Below are 21083 nucleotides of genomic sequence, written 5' to 3'. Positions count from 1 at the left end.
AGCTCCACAGGGCACAGCCACGTGCCTGGAGCACACGGTCATGCAGGCAGGCAGCCAGGGTTGCCAGGGCTCACACGAGAGCTGGGGGACTGGGCACCCAGACAGTGGCTGTTTCCACATTGGCAAAACAGGAGTTGGTAACCCAGAAGCCATGCTGCGGGGTTAACATCAGGGAACCGATTCGTCCCAACCCAGAAGGAAGAGAAAGGTCAGGCTGTAAGTGTTGGACATGATGGGAAAGAAAAAAAATGCATGAAAGCATGTCCTATTTTTGCAGAGGGAAGGGGACTGGATAAATAAATCCCTAAATAGAAAACAGGGATTGGGAATCCAGTCATTCCTTTCTGTACCTCATGCCACTGACACCATAACAGCTGAATGCACCCAGTACTCGTGCAATACACACTGGCCAGACTTGTCACATGCGATCTTATTTAACCCTGCCAAAACCCCAAGGGAGAGGGACCATTTATAATTTCCATTGTATTGACGAGTAAACTGAGGCTTAAAGGGTTAAGAAATTGACACAAAGTTACACGGCAAGCCAGGGGTGGGTCCAGGATGTAAACCCAAGCCCCTGAGCCCAGAGCCTACAATCCTAACCACCAAGTTGCCTTGCTTTCCAGACATACCCAAAAATACCTTTTGCCACAGGCTTGGGACTACTATCCTGTGAATGTCAGCAAGCCTGTCCTCTACAGGGATCCGTGGAGAAGATAAACTCTACAAGAAACAGAAAAATGTCTACCTGTCTCCAGAACCATGCAGACTCCCTCCCCTTCAGGATCTCCTAGCCCCTGATGAATGAACAGCACTTCCAAGATGCTTGAGACACCGGGCACAGCTACTATCAGTCATGGCGCTCCCAACCTGCAGACATTATCAGTCTGCTGGACTGGAAAGATACACGAACTGCACGCCCTTAAGCGGAGCTTCACCTCATAATATTGGGAAAAGTAAGAGAATCCTCTGACCTTCCATAAACCCAGAATCACCTGCACAGAACTTCCCTCCATCATTACTCAGATTCCCAGGCCAGCGTTTTCCTTCCATACCCAAACCTTCTCACAAGGAAGGTCGGCAGAAACAGAATACAAACTCCATATTGCAAAGGTACAATGGGTTCTCCCCCACCCCCGCTCCTTTTGTGCCACCCACTTATGCCATCCTTTTCCCACACACAACCACATGGAAGGGTTTTCACTTTACTCTGTAACCAGCCTTCATCATAACCCAGTCTCCGTGCTCAGAACTAGAAAGACAGCCTTCTTAATTCTCAGCGGAATATGGGCCTAACAGTGGTAGGACACCCCCCAGCTATTCAAAGAAAAACCACCAGAGGAAATAATTTCAAATCTGGCTTTACAAGCATGTAATATAAAAATAACTCTGCCTTTGTCTGCTATAGATGACTTTCCCTAAAGGGATGGCTGTCCTTAAAGCAATCGCTCAATTCTCATGGCAAACAGATTCTTCTTTTTCCAGTACCCAGCACATATTCGTCCCTCCAGGAGAGCACCCCCACATCCCACCTCTGACAGTATCTAAAATGCAAACATTGAAGTCATCAGAATGACTCCTGTCATCTCTGCTGGCCTAGGAACATTCAGGACACTGCACCTTGGATGACCGAGGAGCCCCTGCAGTTAGCTCTGGCCTCCAAGAACCACTACTCTTCCCTTCATTAAGATGTCAGCCCAGAAAGCTTGGTGATCCCACAATAGCCACAACAGGTTTTAATGAATCCCTGGATTGTTTCTTGAAAGAAAACTGGATTTCTTCAGATATTTGATTCATTCTTTGATCAGACAGTTAGAGGAATAGGGATGGGGTGCTCAAGATAAGAAAGGGGTTGGGGCAGTCATGGTAAATAGTATGAGAATTCACAAAAATGGGCCAGGTTGTGGTGGCTCACGCCTGTAATCCCAGCACTTTGGGAGGCCGAGGGGGTGCGGATCACTTGAGGTCAAGAGTTTGAGACCAGCCTGGCCAACATGGTGAAACCCCGTCTCTACTAAAAATACAAAAATTAGCCGGGCATGGTGGTGAATGCCTGTAATCCCAGCTACTAGAGAGGCTGAAGCAGGAAAATAGCTTGGACCCCGGAGGTGGAGGTTGCAGCGAGCCAAGATTGTGTCACTGCACTCCAGCCTGGGTGATGGAGCTAGACTCCATCTCAAAAATAAATAAACAAATAAGTAAATAAATAAATAAATATTCACAAGAATGCTCACCTTGTCATTCCAAGACATCCTTGGGGTAGACCTAGAAATGCATACTTTATCAGCTCATGGTTTCATTGCCCTTCAACCAAACAAGAAGCACTAACACCACAACGGAGCATAGCTCAAAAGATGCATGCTGAGTGAATAGCCAAAAACAATTGTTTGGTAAACTACTCTGCAATTATCTCCTGATTAGCCTGATGGCTTAGTTTTATTAACTAAAGTGTATAATTATGCTCTTATTAATATTCTATTTCTTCTTGGCAACCCAATGTCCCCTGACCTTCTTAAAAGTTTTGCCATAAAGCATTGCAGGTAGTTTATCCATGCGTGTGACAGGGTCCTAAAGTAAGTCCAGATTTTGCTGTCCAAATTGAAGTTCTAGACCAGTGGTTCTCCACCGGGAGTGACTGTATTATGCCCAGGGGACATTTGGTAGTGACTGAAGACATTTTTACTTGTCACATCTGGGGCACTGGGGGTCCTACTTGCAACTAGGAGGTAGGGGCCGCGATGCTGCTAAGCATCCTATAAAGCGTAAGACACAAGATTTACCCAAGGCCGGGCGCGGTGGCTCACGCCTGTAATTCCAGCACTTTGGGAGGCCGAGGCGGGCGGATCACGAGGTCAGGCGATCGAGACCATCCCGGCTAAAACGGTGAAACCCCGTCTCTACTAAAAATACAAAAATTAGCCGGGCGTGGTGGCGCTACACGGGAGGCTGAGACAGGAGAATGGCGTGAACCCGGGAGGCGGAGCTTGCAGTGAGCTGAGATCGCGCCACTGCACTCCAGCCTGGGCGACAGAGCGAGACTCCGTCTCAAAAAAAAAAAAAAAAAAAAAAGATTTACCCAAAACATTAACAGTGCCAAGGTTGAGAAACACCAATCAAGACTGAAATTATACAGCTCCCAGAATGACCAAGGCTACATCTGTGCTCTTCCCTTCTGAGGACTTATTTTCCTCAAGATTAACTTGGTACTTCTATTCTGGTCACTCCTGTGAGCCACACAGAATAATCAAGAACTTTCTCCTTTTTCAGGTTTGCTTGCAATATCCATCCATCAGGCCAACATCTCTTAGAATTTTATTTTGCATCTTTATAATGATCAACAATCTATGAACAGCAGAGTGTTATTTTACCTGAGTTTGGTATTTGAAGACGAGGTTTAACTTTTTTCCTTTTCTATGAGGACTATCGAGTTTTCAACTCCAAGAAGGAAACTATGTTGAAGTGTGTTTCCATTATTTAAAATAAGACATTTAAATGGAGAACTTATTTCTAGACCCTCAGTGTTCCCTTTGATCCCAGTGTCTTTCCACCAGAACCTTACAAAATGACATCCCCTGAAACTCAGGAGTTCTTTGCTATGCATTGCAACTCTGATTGGGCATTCCAAGCCTTCTGAGAGTCACTGATCAATACTGACTCTAATGAGCTCTGACAAATGAGTTTTCAAGCTGCTTCAAATCCCAAAACCCCAATTTTTGACTCTCAGTAGGAACCAAGGTGTGAACACCCAATATGTGCAGGTCTCCTGGGAAAAAATATAGTATTCCTAACATGGTACACATCCTAAATTTGGTAGGGGACTAAGAAATACTTGTCAGTTGATTACAAGTGTTGGTCAAAATACCCCAATCCAGTAACTACTGGGCAAAATCTCCTGACATTTCTCTCCAGAGGAAGGGTTATATACAGTACCTAGTTACCTTACGAAGATATTTCAGAAGACAGGGATTGAAATAAGTAATAAAAGTTGACACATACAACAATGATCACAATTGCTTCCACAAATAGAAGACTCATTGCTAATCAGTTGACCCTTTATACGTATTATCTCTAATTTTCACAATAACTCAATCAAATAGAAATTGTATCCTTCTACAAAAAAGGAAACTGAGGCTCCAAGAAATGATGTTGCTTTCTAAGGTCACACAGCTACAAAGTGGTGATTCTCAGTCTACAGAGCACAATGACCGAGGCATAACTGTGTCTCTCACTGGGGCTCTGTTCCCTTCTCTCCTGGCTGTTTTCCCACTTTGAAGGGTTATTCATTTTGTTGCTTGTTCCTACAAAAAAATTGAAGATAGTGGTACCGCACATTCTAAGTAGCAGGGGATCAGGATCACATAAAGGCATGTTTTCCCAAGCTCCCACAGCCTCCAGGGGTGGCTGGAGGCTAAGAATTAATTCCATTCCAGCCAGTGGCCTTGAGTTATAATTCAAAGTGAATTTTGGAGAAGGGGCCAGCACACAGAGGTCTGAAAGGAGGAACTTCAATATGAATATATCGAGGCAGGGGTATTCTCTTCCTCCTTTACATCATTTCCTTCCATTTAAATCTTGCTCCATGTGCCACAGAAATTTCTACAAGAGTCGAGGACACGGAGTTCAGTAACAATCTCTAGCACAAGTTTCGCATTGTCCTGCTTTCTGTCTTCCCCCACAGCTAAGGCCCTCAGCTCTGTGACCTTCCGGATGATTTATCTGGCTGAATCTTTGTTCCTGGTTACCTGTGCACATGAAATCGTCTTTCTTCCTGTTCATTTGGTACTACAGGGTGCTAAAGGCATGAATTCAAAGCTCCTTCAATCTGTGTTTATATCTGAGCATTAGCAGTGGGTTTTGAAGTACTGGTCATTTCAGGTGATATTTTTGTGTACTATTTCAAGATCATTTACAGCTGACCTTGCAGCCTTGTGGGCTTTGATACAGGTGGACTGAGTGTGATAGACAGATGAAAATGAAAAAAAAAAAAAGATAAGAACAGTTGGGTTTATGGGAATAGCAACGAGAGAGATGGAGTCTGGTCCTGAAGAAGGCTCAGAAACACAATATGAGAGCCTGCTTTTAGATTCTACTTCTCAGCTAATGACAAAACAAGATGAAAAGGATGGAAAAAAAAATACCTGCCCCATATCCCTACTCACATTTTTTTTCCTTCAGGACAGACAAGAGTGAATATAGGTAAACCAAACCCTATTGAGAGTCTACCTGTTATCTACGTGTTTAGGGAATGAGGAAAAGAGATACAAGATGCGATGGAGGCTTAAATTATCCAAATCATTAACTGTAAGTTATTTCTTAAACTGCAGCCCTTGGATCAGCTGCATTAGAATCCCATGGGGGAGCTGGTTAAAATGCATATTCCTGGGCCCTCATTCCAGACTTGCAAAATCAGAATTTCTAGGGGTAGATACAAAGAGTCTGTATTTACCGGACTCTCCAGATGAGTGATATGGATGCTCATTAAAGTGGGAGAGCCTCTGCCAGGAGTGGAGCAGAAGAAGGTACCTCTCTTAGGATCTTTGCTAAAACCTGAGTGTTAAGATGTTTATGCTAACTCTACCTTGCCTGTCCCATTCACCCTCCTCCTCCCTTTCTGAAGGGAGAATCTTCAGGGCACTTACCTGGTCTGATGGGGCTCTGCATACAGTTCGGAGATGGGATGCCAGGGTGAAGGGGTGCAGAGGCCCGGCTGCTGAGGTCCATGACCGAGGGGGCAGCCGAGGAAGCTGGCTGCAGCCCAGGAGGGTGAGGGCTGTGGTCATGCTGAGATGGGCTGGGGGGAATGCCATTTTCTGACAAAAACTCCTCCAGGTCCATGTATTCCAACTGGAAAGTATCTCCGTCATAGGGAAGGGTTTTGTCCCATAAGGTAGGCCCCAGGAATGCCGACTGGGGGACCGTCGGGCTGTTACTCTCATCATCCAGCTTCTTTTCCTTGTCTTTATCTTTACTAAATGCTGCAGAAGAAGGGAAAGCTGGACTTAAAAAAAAAGAAAGAAAAGAAAAACAATACCGCTCTTTTATCACTTTTCCTGGCCTGTTATAAGACTATTTCTCACGAATGGCAGGGTCCTTCTCTGGCTGCTGTCTTTTGTAGATCTAGAGTTAAAAGTTCAGGCAGGACGTGGATCTCTGCCTGTTTTTCAACATCTTCCTATTTACTTTGGAAAGAAGGCACTAGTCCTTGGGGCAGGGCTACAGGCTGATCTAGGATAAAAACCAGAGAACAGTCTCAGCACATTATTTGAGAAGAGTAATAACTTAAACCTAAAATAGGAATATAACATCTGTGATTATATACAACTGCTGTCATTTTTAAGAAAACAACAGCCAATAACCAGGCTTGAATTATCTTCCAGGAATTCATCACAGCAGCAATAGGAGGTCATTCAGACTTACAAAGCCAGTGAGTTAGTGGTCTTAATTTTGGTAAAGCAGGGACCTTCCACCCTTCTTTAACATCATGTTTAGAGTACCTACTGGATACCTGGTTCTTTCCATATATTATCTCAAAAATCTCACAATAAACTTGCAAAATAACAATTACCTCCATTTACAACAAAGACTCGGAGGCTCTGAGACTTGAGGGAACTTGACCAATGCCTCATGTTGGCAGAGAATGAGAACTTTCTGAGCTCACATGTGTTTGCTTCTAAAGCCACTGGGGCACACTGATTTTTACAAAAGGAGTTTAAAAAAATACAAAGTGTTTTCTTCCTTCTCTTCTCCAAACATTTGAGTATGATCCAATTTACAAAGAGTATGCATTTACAAAACCTTTCAAAAGCAGAGCTATTGGAAAAGGTGAGTTATTCTATACATTTATGTTGGAAGTATGCAGCTATTTGCTACCTGGAAGTACTGCTCGCCCATTAGGTCTTTAACAAGCATTCCGGATCTTGCCAATTCTAGTATTCAGTCGTGGGTGGAATCTGGGATTAAGGAATTTGCTTCTGAGTTTCATCTTCAGAGAAACACAGCCTCCACTGCCATCCATTCTAACCCTCTACCATCTCATCTGAAAATCTGACTTAAAACACCCACAGATGCAAAAGCCTGCAGGCAGCCCCTTCCTCCCAAATGCTCTTCCTTAAAGGATAGTTAGGGAGGGGTCCCTGGCTATCATCTGCAGATTGCAAACTCTTGCAATGCAACAGGTTGTCCTCTCCTAGAAAAGAAGGTGCAAGTACTCCCAAGCTATTTGTAGCCAAATAACCTTTCAGAACTTTACACTGTGAGCCGCACGGTTCGCATTTGCTACTGTGATACCGAAGGCATGAAATCGCATCAACCCAAATCCGTGGCATCACTTAGCCGGGTTTGGGGCCTCATCACACGTACCCCTCCTCTACTGCTAAGGCCAAGGTTGTCTTGGGAAGGTTTGGGACTTACCAAGAAAGGGCTCAAGCCAGAGGAGGCTCCTGCGCGGTTACACGTGAGCCTGCTCCGCTCTCCCCTCCCACCAGAAAAAGTGCACCGGGAAAGTGTCAACGCTGGAGGCGTGCACGGCTTCCCGCCGAGAGACCACTCCCCCCACCGGCCCCAGCCCCCACCCCGCTTTCTCAGCTACCCTTCACCAGAAGAAAACGAGTCTTCTCTCACACCTCGTGAGTTCCAAATACTAACCAGTAACAGAAGCTGTAACACAACCCCAAAACCCAGGCTACGCAGTGAAACCCCCTCCCTCAAGCCGACCCCCGCCCCCTGCCCCGCACAGAACCAGGCCCCAGGGTTTCTCCTCCCCAGCCCGGGAGGCTCTGCCCTCCGCAGGCGGGCTCGCTCTGCGTGCGGGTGTGCCTCGTTCTAGGGAACGATCCTGACCTGTCAAGTTACACCTCCCACCCGCGCCGCAGGAGCGGGACCCAGGGAGGCCGGGTGCCCGAAGCTCTTTTAAATGTAGCTCAGGAGGGGTCCCTCCCCTTTCATGGAGGAGGAGGAAGGGGAGGAAGGGTGCTGGGTGAGCTCCTCAATTTCATCAGCGCGGGGCCGGGGCGCCGCGGGACAGGGCGGGAGCGGGGTTGGGGGATGCTCCAGCGGGCGTGCCCGGCCGCGGAGGGGGACCCCCGGAGCGTCGTCCCTTCCCGGAGCGGGGCCGCGGCAGCGCTCACCGTCTTCGTGGTGAAGGGGGAGCTTCAGCGGGTTCTCCAGCAGGGACCTGAGCACGCCGTAGGGAGGCGGGATAAAGGTGGGATTCAGGGGGAGCGGTCGGGACATTTTCTCCATCGCGATGCACTCAAATTTTTTCCCCTTAAAAAAAGAAATAAGAAAGAAACAACCGCCCCCTAAAATGTTGCTGAGCTTTTCCTCCGTCCTTTGCCAAAAGTACTCGCTCTCAAGGCGGTGGAGAAAAGGGAAGAAAAAAATTACTTATATCTTTATAAATACATCTGCATAAAAATATATATTAAAAAAAAACTTTCGGGTTTCCAGTGCAGACGGTCCCAGGAGAGCGCGCCAAGTGCCCGCGGGCTCCCCGGCGACGTGCAGGATGCTCTCACCTGCCTCGAACCCCTCGTTTTGCAAAATGTTCAAAATTGAAAAAAAGAAAGAAAAAAAAATGTCGACGGCTGCAGAAGGGCAGAAGACACCGCGCCGACCCCAGCCCCTAGTGCCAGCACCGGAGGCGGTGCGCCGTCCCACCCCACCCCCCTCCCCGCGCCGGCGGCCGCTGCTCCCCAGCGCTCCGCGGCCCCGCAGCGCCGGGCTCAGCGCATCCGGCCGCCCATGTGCCGCGGCCCTGACAAGAGTGACGTCAGGGCCCGCACCTCGCGCCCATAGGCGTGCGGGGGCGGGGCCACGCGCGGCACCGCCCGCCTGGCCCGCTCGCCCCGCCGCCGCGTGTTTAGCGTCGCCGCTCGCGCCGATTTTCGGGGACCTTGCAGCACTGGCTGGTTGCAGGGGAGCAGGTGCCAGATTCCCTGGGCCATCAACTTAGGCTTAGATTTTTTTTTTTTTTTTTGGTCTGGGTGGGAAGAGGAATGAGAAATTTATATCCATAGTTTTCAAGCTGGGAATAACCTGAGGAGTTTTAAAAAAATCGCGATACCCAGGCCGCATCCCAGATCAATTAGATCAGAACCTCTGCGGTGCTATCAGGGCGTCCATAATTTTTAAAGCTCCCCAGGTGGTTCCAAAGAGTAGCCAAGTTTGAGATGATTGGTTTAGATCGGATGGAAGGTAACGACCCTTCTCAATATTTCTCCTGGCCCCGGCCAAGCTTAGCGTCTTCTTTCTTGCCCAGTTTCCACCACCACCAAAAAATAACTACTTCCTATAAGTCCGAATGGGATGCAAAAAGCAGAGCGGGAAGCGGAGGACTGAGCTGCTGGGCACTGTTTCCCACGCTGCAGAGAGGTGTTAACGGTGGGGGGAGAGGGGGGGTAGACATTTGCCTGAAACGGAAAGAGGCGGGAGAGACACAGACACACTGAACGGGATTTTAGGAATATTTACTCTGGGTGAATACAGGTGATTGCGCTTGGGTCAAGTTATTAGGTTTGCACGGTGATTAAAATAATTTTGTAAAGTATCCCCTAAGGGGGCTTCGGCTTTCCTTGCTGTTACAGCAGCTGCAGCGTCTCCCTCTGCCAGTTTGACCTCGTGGCACCCACGGTCCCCGAGATCTGCGTGCGACCCCCTGTGTGATAACTCCCTTCCCGCCTGGGGTGGTGCGGGCGCTGGCGTGCAGCCGCGACGCCCCCTGCAGAGCTCCGCGGGGGGCCAGGCAGGTTCTTCCCCTCCCTCCTTACCTCTCCTTACTAAGACCCTAGTCTTCGATCTGGGGAAGGGGCTGCAAGAACGAATGGGCACAAATGAAAGAAAACCGTTTTTCAGTGGGACGTAAAGGCCTTTGTGACCCCAGGCTGAGTCGCTGGGGAAGGATGTGGTGGTGTCTTGATGGGGTTTACTTCCCCAGGAGAGGGTTGTAAGAGAGGAGGCGCCTGAAACCCCAGAGATCAGGAGCGGCGGCGCAGCGGGGTTCAGAGTTCCCTGGCAGGGTGATTCCGGCAAGTGCCTTTCTGCCCTGAGCTGTAGGTTCTTCATAAAAGGACACGTAATCTAGTGACCTCTACTTCCTCACTCTAAAATTATGGCAAAAGGGTAAGGCAACATTCTAAGTGAGATGTTGTTGCAGTGTTTCAGGTTTCAGACGAATTCCAGAAACAGCAAACTTTTAGTTAATGCCACATGCATTTATTGAGCACCACGGTATGTATGCCAGCGACTATGCGGGGGCTAGTGAAAAAAGATGAATAAAACATAATTTTAACCTTCAAGAACTCATCGTTTAGGGTTTGGCATATAAGCAAATAATATAAAATAGGCTTAAAAGAACAAAAATGGATAGATGGAGGTGACAGGGGCACTTACATTATTAGGAAAGGGATTCTAGAGAAGGTGCCTGAGCTGGGCGTGGAGGTAATAGTCTCTCGTGAACGGTCTGAATCCATCAATTATATTATATTGTTTTTTTAAAAAATAAAAAAGGGACCTCATCTCCGCTATCCTTTTGGAGACAGAGGCTATTTCCCTGTCTTGAGTTCCTTACATCCCTGTAAGTCCATAAACTGGCAGGACTGAGAGCATCCTCTCAGCCTGGTTAGAAATCTGTTAGATTGCAGATTCCAGGTGCATGAAAGATGCGTTACCTAAGCTTTGTGTAACAGTCCACTGACATTACTCAGCACGCCCAAAGTGCTCCACCTGCTCATGATTCTCCGCATGTCCTCACTTCCCCATGTTTCCAGACATGAAACTCTTACCAGGTCAAGTAATCTGGTTTCCCAGGGTAATCTTCTCCTTACCACCTGACAGAACCAAATACTGTGGCTTGGAAATTGCATTTCTCATTGCAAGTGGATAAACTGGCGTTCTGGTTGATCAAGCAGTTTCTTGGGAATTTGGTTCATTTAATTTAATTTCCCTGAGCCTGATCAACATGTCACGGACCAGATTGAGGACCAGCCCCTTAGACCATGGTGACTCCCTCTCACTTCTCTCCATCCTTCTCTAACTTCAAAGGTATTTCTTAGAGCCTCAAAAATTATAAGCATTGGCTAATCTTCAATCTAGCCCCATTCCTTAACAAGATAAATGAAATTGGTACATCTTTTCTACTCTGGCCATTTGTAAATGTTATTTTCTTTTATTTTTTTAACAAACCATGAACATCTTTCTTTCTCTTTCTCTCTCTCTCTTCCCCAGAAGCAGTTGTGGATGGCTGCTCAAGAGGAAGGAGAGGGATAGAAGAAACCAAAGGTTATATTGGTTGGGTAGTAAGACCCTCTGAATTCCACAGGTTAATTCTCAAATGGACATATCCCTAATGAGCACTAACCCCAATCTGCACATATGCCCAGAGATAACTGCCGCTCACAAGTGCTTAGCACTTGTCCACTTACAGAGCCCTTCCATATGTGTCATATCACATACTTCTGACAATTCCATGAGGAAAGCAATGATGCTGATTATTGATTGCTGTGTAACAGATCACTCCAAAACCTAGTGGCTTAAAACAACAATCATTTTATTATTTCTCATTATTCTGCAATCTAGGTTAGGCTCAGCTGGGATACTGGGCTGGCTGGCCTTCTCTTTCTCTTTACATGGCCTCCTTACACCATAGATTCATTTTGCTTGTTTTATAATTTCATACAAGTGAAATCATACTGTATATACTCTCTTGTGTGTAGCTTCTTTCACTCTGCACAGTATTTTAGACATTCACCAATGTTGCATATAGTTCATTTCTTTATATTAGTGAGTAGTATTCCGCTCTATGAATATACAAAAGTTTATCTGTTGTATTGGTGGACATTTGGGTTGTTTCCAGTTTTTAGGCATGAATAAAATGTTTATGAGAATTCTTGTCTGAGTTCTTTTGTGAACACATGCTTTCCTTTCTCTTGGATAAACAAATAGGAGTAGGATTACTGGATCATAGAAAAGATGTGTGTTTTACTTTAGAAGAAGCTCTTCTATAGTCTTCTGAAGCAGGTAAATTGTCCTGCATTTCCAGCAGCAGTATATGAGAGTTCTGGTTGTTCTAGCGCCTCACCAATATTTAGTGGTGTCAGTTTCTCTTAAAACTTGTAGCCATTCTAGTGGGTGGATAGTCAGTTCTCAATGGACCTTTCATCTGAATTTTCCTGATGAAAAATGATGGCATGTGCTACTTCATGTGCTTCTTAGTAGCTTGTACATCTTCCTGTTCAAGTCTCTTGCCCATTTTTGAATTTGGTTATCTTTTGATTACTGAATTTTAGGAGTTCTTTTATATACTTTGGATAGTCTCTTTGTCAGATGTTTGTGTGTTGTGAATATTTTCTTCCAATCTGTGGCTTGCTGATTAGTTTTTATAATAACGTCTTTCCATGAGCAGTTTTTAATTTTGACAAAGTTCAATTTATCAATTTGTTTTTCATGATTATTGCTTGCTATGAACTAGGAAACTTTTGACTACTCCTGAGTTCTGGAGATATTCTCCTATACTTTCCTTTATAACTTTCATAGTTTAAGCTTTTTCATTTAGCCTTATGACCCATTTCAAATTAATTTTTGTGTATACTATGAGGTAAGGATTAAGGTTGGTTTTACTCATGGGGATATCCAATTGTTTTAGACTTTCATTTCCCCCTTGAATTGTTTGTTGTTGTTGTTTGTTTTGTTTTGTTTTGAGATGGAGTCTCGCTCTTGTTGCCCAGACTGGAGTGCAATGGCGTGATCTCAGCTCACCGCAACCTCCGCCTCCTAGGTTCAAGCAATTCTCCTGCCTCAGCCTCCTGAGTAGCTGGGATTACAGGCACCAGCCGCCACATCCGGCAATTTTTATTAGTATTTTTAGTAGCGATGGGGTATTAGTATTTAGTATTAATATTTTTAGTAGCGACGGGGTTCTCCATGTTGGCCAGGCTGGTCTCGAACTCCCGACCTCAGGTGATCCGTGGACCTTGGCTTCCCAGAGTGCTGGGATTACAGGCGTGAGCCACCGCGCCCGGCCCCCCCTTGAATTCTTTTGATGTTATTGCTGACAATTATTTGACTGTGTATTTGTGGGTGACCCAAACTTTTGATCCCGAGGAAAAATGGGTATTTTATCACTAAGGACAGAATAATGCTATTTCTATGTTCTTTCTAAGTTTCCTGGGATCTGATTCATATCCAGCAACAGAAAAAAGTTCACCAAAGTTTACGGCTAAAATGAATGCCTCACTTTCAGTGGCTCATTCAGTTTGTTGACAAGACCTCTACAAAGTTGTCCACATTAAGTTAGATAAGAGCCAAAAGCAGAGGCATTATCCAATTTGCTTTTTTGTGTATGAGCAAATAATTAAGCCTATTGGATGTCTTTGGTTACAACTAGTAATGCCTCAGTGCTCCTGTCTTAACCTGCATGTGCTTAAACAGTAAGTCAAAACTAAACCTCTTTGTTAGAGAAATTCGAACAAACAAATACTAGATAAAGAACATTTGACAAGCCACTGAAAAACCCTTCAGTTGGCCCTTCAAGGAGAAAGGAATAGCAGAAGCTCTGGAGGTTTAAAACTGTCCTAAAAATAGGAATGACCATAGAAGAAACGTTCCCCAGAATCAACTTCTTAAAGGATGCCAGCACAGCTCTCCTCTGAAGTTCTGGAAATCAGCCTTTTGCCCAGCCAGTGGTTGCCACCTGTCCTGTCATTTCAGAGGTTTTGATAGTGAGATTGGGTGGGGAGTCCTTTGTGCAGCCCGGTGGGGGCAGACGTGAGGCAGCCATTTTGGCACCAGCCTTGCAGGTCTGCAGAGAGAACTTTGCAGTGTAAGCAGTGTTTATGTTTCAGATTCCCAGTGGGTGTGAAGCCTTGTTGAGCACACAATGCCTGCCACTGTAGCCTACTTGGGGCTAGGAGCCTGGGGTGGATGGAGACGAGCACTGTGGTTATGAAGGGCTTTATAGTCTAGTGAGCCAAACCTCTGGATGAACCTGTTTATCTCGTTGTCAGAAAGGGTACTTTATCCAGGGAATTAATTCAGAAGTGAAAGGCATCACGTGGGAGTTAGGCTAGATATGCCTAACCCAGGCTTCTTCCTTCTCTCCTTCCTGAAACCTCTAACTCAGCTAAAGCACCAAAAAGGAAAATTATATCTAATTAGCTTAACTACTGGAGACCCTCAAATCTCTTCACTTGGTGTAGGATCATGGAAACCAAAACAATAAAACATTTGTTGGGAATGCCAAGCCCTCCTCTGAGACTGACTTATGTAAAGGAGCATGAGTCCTTCCCTGTGCTTTCCTTGAGGCTTCCCCGTCCTTTCCCTGAGCCCTGTATTGTTTGGGTAAATGAGTGGGAAAGACTAAGACAGGTAGATCGGTAGAAGAGGTACTAAATCAGGCATGTGTCTGTATGTGTGTTTCAAATCAGAGGATGGTAGGATTTCTATACATGTGATAGGAAGGAGGATGAAAGAAAACTGTATAAAAGAGAAAGAAAAAATACGCGTGGCAAAAGGAGAAGAAAAAAAAATCAGTGCAGTGTGTTGCATAGAATGAACGCAGGATTTGGGGCCAGATATACATTGACACCTGCCACTATTACTACTTCTACTACTACAACAAATGCCAACAACAGCATGAAGAAGGCATAAATTATTGTGTGTTTAACTGTGTTCTGGAGCAACATTAGACCTGTTAAATATATTATCTTATGTATTACTTGGGACAATGATATAGGGTATATTTCATTATTCCCATTTTTCAGATGAGGACAGTGAGGCCCAGAGAAATTAGTGACTTGTCATGATCCTATGGCTAGCTAATACATGGAGAAGCTATGAGTTGAAAACAGGTCTGCTTGACTCCAGTGCTTGCACTCTTAACCTTGCTCCAGTAAATGAAGGACAAACATTCATTCAATAAGCTTACACCGTTTGTAACTGGTTCAAATCCTGCTTCTGTCCCGTGACCTTGGATAACCTCTCTGATCTCAAGTTTCTTTGTGTGAAATATAAACTAATGCCTGTGCTTCCCAGCTTGCAGAGTTGCTAGGAGGATTAAATGAGATAACTCATGTGGAGGTGCTTGGTACATTGTGAAGCGCTAAACAAATGTGAGGGCTTGCTATTTGGGGCTTTTTTGCATTTTCTGGTTTCTCTGCTCCTTTGCAGAGATGCTCCCACTTATGAATCTGCAAAACTGTTGATGTAGTCCATGATATTAGAAGCTACTTTTCATCCAAACACACATCCTTTTTTCTTCTCACCATTTTCTCTCACCAGGGGCAGCTACATTCTATTGCTCCCAGTCTCCAAAAGGGGAATTGAACAATGAGAACACATGGACACAGGAAGGGGAACATCACACACCGGGGCCTGTTGCGGGGTGGGGGGAGGGGGGAGGGATAGCATTTGGAGATATACCTAATGTTAAATGACGAGTTACTGGGTGCAGCACACCAACATGGCACATGTATACATATGTAACTAACCTGCACGTTGTGCACATGTACCCTAAAACTTAAAGTATAATTTAAAAAAAACCAAAAAACACAAGTTTGAAGTTCAATAAAAAAAATCAAATATAGCAGATTCCAAATAGCCACTCAGCCAGAGTCAGGAAAGAATAGATATTTCCTATATCTTCATAAAGGGTGAAGGAATAGAAGTTTGTGGATTAACTAACACTTTAAAATTATTTCAAGTCTAGTAAATGCAACTGAAGGTAGAGACAGTTGAGCTGTAGAGGCAGAAAATCACCATGACTCAGAATCTAGTCTTTAATTTGCTTAGGATCCAATGTCAATTAGGCTGAGTGAAACTGACTGACATCAACCACATTCTAAAATATAACTTGAAAATCAAAATTAAAAATTATATATAATTTCTAAGCTGCACTTCAGGCTCTTTTATGTGCATGGGAAATATAAGACCAGGTATCCTCAGGTGATCAGAGTTTATTTTTAAGCTAAGCAAGTGGAGAGCAAGACCACAAAACCATGCTGAGGGTATATGCATGCTCTGGTGGACCAAGTATTTTCATGACCAATGCATCCTGAAAACCTGGGGAGAACTTGAACAATGGCCTGTCATCATGTAGGGCATCAGGACCAACTTCCCTCCCTTTATTGTGTCTTAATCCCAAAACAAAGGTTCTGATTCATAGACATTGTCACCATTTTCTTTGAAGTTTCTGCATTGGGTGGAGTCTCACAGGAGCCATCTCATAAGTGATTGGCTAACCTTATACCTGTAAATGAGTATCTTTGTTGGAACATTGGTAATTGATCCAATTATAGAGCCCAAGGCAACTGGTTTGACTCAGACACTGGCATGTACCATGTGCAACCAGATTAGCCCGGCATAGCTTTCCTTTAAAAAGGAGGTCTTTCTAAGGAGCATGCCAGGCGTGTTGAACTTCAAGCAATACTTAAAAATTTGTGTCAGCTGGACAATGTGTTCCCTGCCCTGTAGGGATACTCTCCATGGGAGCTTTCTTGCTGAGCGTGGAATCAGAGCAAGGGGAGTGAATCGCATGACTTTAATGACATCAGGCAGTGCCAGCCGGGTGCGCATAGCCTTGCCGAGTACTTCTTTCCAATTGAGCATGTGGATGTGAATGTTTCCATCCCAGGGACTTGCAGCCAGGGTGAGAGAAGCAGGAGGAAGCATCCTGAAGGGTCTTGCTTGGCCCGCTGTGGTTTTAGATCTTACACATCAATAGACACATTCTAGGGTTACTTTCTTCCTACTTATTATTGCCTCAAAGGCATTGCATCTGCTGGTCTTTGTACAGCACTGGAGGCAGCATTCCTGACTCTTTCGACTTCACTTTTACTAGGTTCCAAGCACACCATTCCCCATCTGTTAATGCATTTTTGGTGTCAGGCAGGGAACATTAAGATTGATGAGCTTTCAGCAGGTCTGCTTTCCTGAGACGACAACTTAGTCCTCTGCTCCTCAATGCACACAACACTGATGGGAGGGCTTTCTTAGGCCAGGCACTGTGCTGGGCACTGAGGACTAAAGCAAGGAGGAGAAATATGGTCACAAAGGCCTTACAGTCAGGTGGGGATATAGCAACTTAACCAAATACCTATCTCAGTGTGATAGGTATCATTGATAAATAAGGAAAAAGGGAGTATGAGTGGGAAAGTGATTAACTCTGTCCGAAGGGCTCAAAGAAGTCTTTATAGATGAGCTTCAAGTAAGGTTCTGTAGACAGAATAAGAGTACATCAGGGAGGCAGGGAGTGGGCGAGGAATGCCAGTACGGTCTACACAGGCAGGAATACCACAGTCTGAATACAAGCTGTCCAGTTTTCTGGAATGCAAAGCTTACTAGAGGAAGAATGCCACTGATTATTGTAACAGTAAGAACTATTATTTGCTGACTACTGACTGGGCTAGGCACTGTGCTAAATTCTTTGCATGCATCATGGTAACCCATCTTTAAAACAACCCTAGGAAACAGGTACTACTATTTCTTACTGATGAAAATTCTTTCCTATGTCATAAACCCAAGTCGAACTGGCTTAGGCAAATGCAGGAGTTTTGAAAGCCTTTTCAGTCTCTTCCTTCTCTTTTTGTGTTGTTTTTATTCTCTGCAAACTTAACCTCTACCACACACTGGAGCATGTGACTTCCAGTAGCTCAGGAGTTTTACATATTTGCCTTTCCTCCACCAGAGAGGGACTAATTTTCTTTCTCAGTTTTAGTTTAAAAAATCCCAGAGAGGCCAGGCACGGTGACTGACACCTGTAATCCCAGCACTTTGGGAGGCCGAAGTGGGCAGATCACTTGAGGCCCAGTTTGAGACCAGTCTGGCCAACATGGCAAACTCCTGTCTCTACTGAAAATACCAAAATTATCCAACTGTAATGGTTCGCACCTGTAATCCCAGCTACTCAGGAGGCTAAGGCACGAGAATCGCTTGAACCTGGGAGGCGGAGGTTGCAGTGAGCCAAGATTGCACCACTGCACTTCAGCCTAGGAGAAAAAAAATTCTCAGAGAAGAGTTTAGATAGGCCCAGCTTAGATCAGCTGTCTATTCTTGGATTAATTAGTAATGGGGCTGTTAAGAACATGACCATTCCAACTGGCACTGATGGTTAGAGGGAAAGGAGGAGCAATTTCCAAGAGGAACGAACCCCAGGCAGACAGAAGTACATATGCCCACTGAATTCTTCATTTTGTAGATGAGGATATTGAAGCTTTGAGAGGTTGAGTAACATGTTGAGGTCACACAGCTAGTAAGGAGCAGAAACTAAAATTCAGTCTAAGTCTATCTCAGTGGTTCTCAAAAAGGAGCTCTGGAACAAGACCACTGGAGCTCAATGCTGGTTCCACCATGAATTAGCTGGGTGGGTGACTTTGGGTAAGTCACTGAGCTTCTGGGTGCTTCAGTTTTCCCAACTGTGAAGTGAGCAGAATAATTGTACCAAGCTCACAGATGAGGATTAGATGCATTAATACCTAGGGAAAACTTAGACTAGTGCCTGGCACAAAGGACAAGCTCAATAAATATGAGTTGGCGTGCTCTCATGCTTCATGCTAGCTTTCCTGTCCTGGTCAGATGAATGGCTGTTTCAATCTTCAGGGCTCCGCTCAGCTGCCTTCCTTGGTGAAATCTTCCTGATGCCCCCAGAAAAAGTTAGTCCTCCTTTGTGCTCTCAGGAGCACAAAGCAAAACACTTTTGCTTTCATGTCCATCTCCCTGACTGCTCCTCAAGGGTGTGGTTCTTTCTTCTTGACATGTGTCCTTCCACCAAACAGTATACCCACTACATAGAAGACATTCAGTAACTGTTTGAAGGCTTAAATATACAGATTTCACTGGGGCAACACCAACATGGTGGGTCATTGAAAGGTGGGTCATCTAAACTGATCAGTTTGCCAAGCATTGTTTTTTCCAACTCTCACATTTCAACTCTTCTTATTTGCCTGCCCCTGAAGGAGTGAAAAATATCGTTTACAGAGTTCAGTAATGTGGTCCTTCCTCCTTTGCTGTCAGCTTTTATCCAAATCTGAATGTTGGTCGTGTTTGTTATCAGCGCTTCCCATAGTCTCCATTACCTCCCCAGCTTGGGTTTCTGTTTACCTACTGTGACTTAACCCTGACCATTCAGCTCTCCTTCCTTATTAGTTTCTGCACACCCTGAGTCAGAATAACTTCCTGTCCAAGTGGGACCTACTGTCGTGTTTGTAGGCTTGTGGGTCCAGTTGCTACTCAGTCAGTGCTTAAGTAGTTACAAGCCGCCGAAAACTAGTAATCTGGGTATCTCATACCATTGCCTAACCATTCTGGTTCTTTGTTAAGAAGATGGCAGGCAGCCCATGGGATTTTCTTTCTTTCTTTTGCTTTTTTTTTTTTTTTTGGAGATGGAGTTTCATTCTTATTGCCCAGCCTGGAGTCCAGTGGCGCGATCTTGGCTCACGGCAACCTCCGCCTCCTGGGTTCAATTGATTATCCTGCCTCAGTCTCCCGAGTAGCTGGGATTACAGGCATGTGCCATCACGCCCAGCCAATTTTGGTATTTTTAGTAGAGACGGGGTTTCTTCATGTTGGTGAGGCTGGTCTCGAACTCCCAACCTCAGGTGATCCTCCTGCCTTGGCCTCCCAAAGTGCTGGGATTACAGGCATGAGCCACCGTGCCTGGCCTGGATTTTCTTTTTTTTATTAAAAAAAACATAAACCTTACAATTCAGGATCATTTCAGCACTGAAAGACAAAAGCCACACTCAGTTGTTCTTCATCAGTAGCTGTCAAACTTTATAATACCACAGTTTAGAGGAGCTGGTTAGAATGCAGATTCTTGGTCCTGCGGCTAAAGATTCCTGTTGAATAGTCTGGAATGGAGTTGAAGTATCTGCCTTTTTAACAAGGTGGGTAGTTTTCTATGGCTGCCCTAACAAATTACCATAAACTCAGTGTCTGAAAACAACAGAAACTTTTCTGTCACAGTTCTGGAGGCCAGAAGTCTGAAGTTGAAGTGTAAGCAAGGCCACGCTCCCTCCAAAGGCACCAGGGCAGAATCCTCCCTTGCCTCTTCCAGCTTCTGTTGGCCCCAGGCATTCTTTGGCTTGTGGCTGCATCACTGCAGTCTCTGCACATGGCCCTTTTCTCTGTGTCTGTGTGTCTGAAATATCCCTCTCCTTTCTCTTATGGAAGAACACCAGTCACTGGATTTATGGTACACCCTAAATACAAGATGATTTCATCTTGACATCCTTAACTTAATTACAGCTACAAAGATCCTATTTCCAAATAAGGTCACATTCATAGGTACTAGGGGTTAGGATTTGGACATATCTTTTTGAAGGGACAGAACCCACTACAAAAGGTTATTCCGACATATTATGCGGTTCTGTTATCATACTGCAAAAACACTGTCCTAGTTTCTAGATGAGTATTAGAGCTTATCCTGACTAGTTATCATGCAATCTAGACAGTTCTACAGTTGAGTACTAGTCAGTTGAAAAAATTAGAAATGGACCAGGCCTGGTGCCTCATGCCTGTAATCCTAGCACTTCGGGAGGCCGAGGCGGATGGATCACTGGAGCTCAAGAGTTTGAGACCAGCCTGGGCAATATGGTGAAACCCCGTCTCTACAAAAAAAAATTAGCCAAGCGTGGTGGCTTGCACCTGTACACCCAGTTAGTTGGGGGGCTGAGGCAAGAGGATTGCTTGAGCCCAGGAGGTGGAGGTTGCAGTGAGCCGAGATCACACCACTGCACTCCAGCCTGAGTGACAGAGTGAAACCCTGTCTCAAAAAAAAAAAAAGAAAGAAAGAAAAGAGAGAATGCTTTCCCCTGGCGCATCTTCCTGCCACTGCTTGCTGAGTTGGTTGGTAGGGAGGGCAGGGGAGGAAAACCAGAGGGGCTAGCTTCTTTCCTCTGCTCCATGTTTCTCCCTCTCTCCCTGGCTCTCTCTCTCTCTGTCTCTCAACTCCCCCACCTGCCTCTGCTCTGAAGTGCATGGTCTTTTCCTCTCCAGCTACCACTTTTAGAGACTTTGGCTGTAAAAGCAAAATTCTAGACTCAGACATTGCCTCTTAGTCAATTGCACTGAGTTTGAATGAGTCTGAAACATAA

At 45.2% G+C, this 21083-nt stretch overlaps 1 protein-coding gene across 5 annotated transcripts in view, besides 1 other annotated feature; it reads right to left on the bottom strand.

Moving 5' to 3' along the window:
- The window catches only part of HLF (HLF transcription factor, PAR bZIP family member), a 60228-nt gene extending 51462 nt beyond the window's left edge, over positions 1-8766 (bottom strand). For 3 of the 5 annotated variants that reach the window (XR_002957996.2, NM_002126.5, XM_005257269.3), the window contains exons 1-2: positions 8127-8766; positions 5640-5975 (exon numbers count right to left, since the gene is read on the bottom strand). Coding sequence is in view for 4 of the 5 variants with exons in the window: in NM_002126.5 (NP_002117.1) it covers positions 5640-5975; positions 8127-8241 (451 nt within the window). In the remaining variant the exon portion in view is untranslated. Of the gene's footprint in view, positions 1-5639; positions 5976-6870; positions 6951-7410; positions 7505-7839; positions 7883-8126 lie in introns of those variants that run through there. The other 2 variants (XM_047435895.1, NM_001330375.2) reach the window with 2 other exon arrangements.
- Positions 8643-8962: a silencer, noted in NCBI's record as "silent region_8731". NCBI's record gives its function as "represses an Ori minimal core promoter by ATAC-STARR-seq in GM12878 lymphoblastoid cells {active_cell/tissue: GM12878}" and the evidence as "EXISTENCE:reporter gene assay evidence [ECO:0000049][PMID:35858748]".

This window comes from Homo sapiens, chromosome 17 (assembly GCF_000001405.40).
Source record: "Homo sapiens chromosome 17, GRCh38.p14 Primary Assembly".
NCBI classification, from domain to species: Eukaryota; Metazoa; Chordata; class Mammalia; order Primates; family Hominidae; genus Homo; species Homo sapiens.
The sequence above is the reverse complement of the archived record's forward strand: the minus strand, read 5'-3'. Positions and strand labels throughout refer to the sequence as shown.